This window comes from Homo sapiens, chromosome 5, assembly GCF_000001405.40.
Source record: "Homo sapiens chromosome 5, GRCh38.p14 Primary Assembly".
Lineage (NCBI taxonomy): Eukaryota > Metazoa > Chordata > Mammalia > Primates > Hominidae > Homo > Homo sapiens.
Genome location: NC_000005.10, coordinates 173186746 through 173189243, shown reverse-complemented (window position 1 = coordinate 173189243; position 2498 = coordinate 173186746). Strand labels below are relative to the sequence as shown.

The 2498-nt window shown below is 46.0% G+C and overlaps 1 annotated feature.

Moving 5' to 3' along the window:
• Window positions 1482-1601: a silencer, noted in NCBI's record as "silent region_16636". NCBI's record gives its function as "represses an Ori minimal core promoter by ATAC-STARR-seq in GM12878 lymphoblastoid cells {active_cell/tissue: GM12878}" and the evidence as "EXISTENCE:reporter gene assay evidence [ECO:0000049][PMID:35858748]".

Sequence of the window (2498 nt, the reverse complement as noted above, 5' to 3'; positions counted from 1 at the left end):
GTATGCCTGTGGTCCCAGCTACTCAGGAGGCTGAGGTAGGAGGATCGGTCGAGCCCAGGAGGTAAAGGCTGCATTGAGCTATAAGTGCACCACTGCACTCCAGCCTGGGATGGCAGAGAGATTCTGTCTCTATAAAATAAAAATAAAAGAAGTTACTCTCTGCAAACGCTTTAAATTTTGTGTTTTAAGGAACCATGTAGTTAGTCAATTTTCTAAATGGAAATCAGGCCAGGTATGGTGGCTCACGTCTGTAATCCCAGCACTTTGGGAAGCCGAGGCAGGTGGATCACCTGAGGTCAGGAGTTCGAGAACAGCCTGGCCAACATGGCAAAACCCCATCTCTACTACAAATTCAAAAATTAGCTGGACATGGTGACACATGTCTGTAGTCCCAGCTACTCAGGAGGCCAAGGTTGGAGGATCGCTTGAGCCCAGGAAAGTGAAGGCTGCAGGGACCGTGATCATGCCACTGCATTCCAGCGTGAGCAACAGAGCAAGACTCTGTCTCTAAAAAAAAGAAAAAAAATTACCACATTTTTAGATTATATAATTCTGATTCAAAGGTAAAATACAAAGAGGGGAAAATATATTTAACATAAAATTTGAATAAAATATTTTCCAAAATCTTAAGGAAGACTTACTTCCATAAAAATAATTTTTATGTCAGGCTTCAGGCTCAGTGGGCACCCGTGAGTCCTGATTTAATGAGACAAGCTTCAAATTCTAGGTTTTTTTTAAATGATTCTTCATCATTGATTGATTGATTGATTGATTGATTGATTGATTGATTTTTAAGAGACATGGTCTCATTCTGTTGCCCAGGCTGGAGTGCAATGGTGCAACCATGGCTCCCTGCAGCTTTGACCTCTGGCCCCAAACAATCCTCCCGCTTTGGCCTCCCAAAGTGCTGGAATTACAGGCATCAGCCACTGTGACCAGTTTCCTCTTCTTTCTGTTAAATGACATATCATCCCTTGAATGCAAGAGTTTCAGATTCTTAGTAATCATCATTGCCAAGAAATTTTGCTTTTACAAGTAAGTGACTTTTAAAAAGGTTTAAAAATTGTGTTTTTCTACCTTAAAATTTTTACAATGGTCAAAACTACACATAAAGGATCACCCTTTCTTTCCTTGGCAATTATGATATAGGAACTTCTTAGGATTTCTAATCCAGTCCAACTTTCTTTTTTTTCCTTTTTGAGACAGAGTCTCACTCTGTCGCCCAGGCTGGAGTGCGGTGGTGCAATCTCGGCTCACTGCAACCCCTGCCTCCCAGATTCAAGAGATTCTTGTGCCTCAGCCTCCCGAGTAGCTGGAGTTATAGGCATGCACCATCACTCCCGGGTAATTTTTTTTTTTTTTTTTGTATTTTTAGTAGAGACAGGATTTCATTATGTTGACCAGGCTGGTCTTGAACTCCTGACCTCAAGTCATCTGCCTGCCTTGGTCTCCCAAAGTGCTGGAATTATAGGCGTGAGCCAGTCCGATTTTTTCATACTGAGTATGTCACAATAATGCTGACACTCTAACTTGTAGAGCACACATGATTGACTGCAATGGTTGCCTGCAGGTGGCACAGTTACCCCTGTACCCCTACAGTCACCCAAACAGAAGCATCTGTGTGAAGACAGAGCAGGCAGCCCGGAGCTGGGCCTGCCCAGGCACCTGCCCTCATCCTTCCCTCCAACCCCTAGGGGGCCTCCCTTCAGTCTGTACCCGCTACTCCTGGGCACCTGCAATGCAAGCTCACCAGCCCCTGTGGCTCTTGCCCAAACCAGACAGCATAATGCCTGGCGGCTGGCTACTGTCCTCCACATCCAGGCAGCAAGCAGCTCTTTCTTGATGGCACTCAGGACCCCGCCTAGATCAGGGCATACCACCAAGGCTCACGGTGCTCCTGAGGCCGCTGGGGCACCACAGGGTGCTTCTCAGGTCCTGTCACTCAACTGGGCCTCCCCAAAGTGGGCTCACAGCCCAGGGGCTCCAGTTGCCCCAGGCTCTGCTAGGCTGCCCAGAGGACTCAAGGTGTGGATATCTCAGGCACACCTGAGTGTTGAGCTCAGCACACGTGTATGCTGGGCACGGCATGAGTGTAAGGAAGCGCTGGCATACAGAATAAAATCCCCTGGCTAGGAAGCAAGCTACTGCTGACTCCACCGAAGCCCCTGCACGCCCCTCCCAGTACCATCTCCCCTCGCCCCTGCAGAGGCAGACACCATCCTGACTTTGGTGTCTATTCTTTTCATTCGTTTCTTTCTATTTTACCACATGCGTATATATCCATTAAAATATGTAATTGTTTTTCATGTTTAAAACTTTATGCAAGGAATATTATTCAGTGTTAAAAAGGAAGGAAATTCTGACCTATGCTATAACATGAGTGAAGCTTGAGGACATCAGGCTAGGTGAAATAAGCCAGTCACAAAAAGATAAATACAGTATGATTCCACTTATCGGAGCCGAGTAGTCAAAATCATAGAGACAGGAAGTGAAATGCT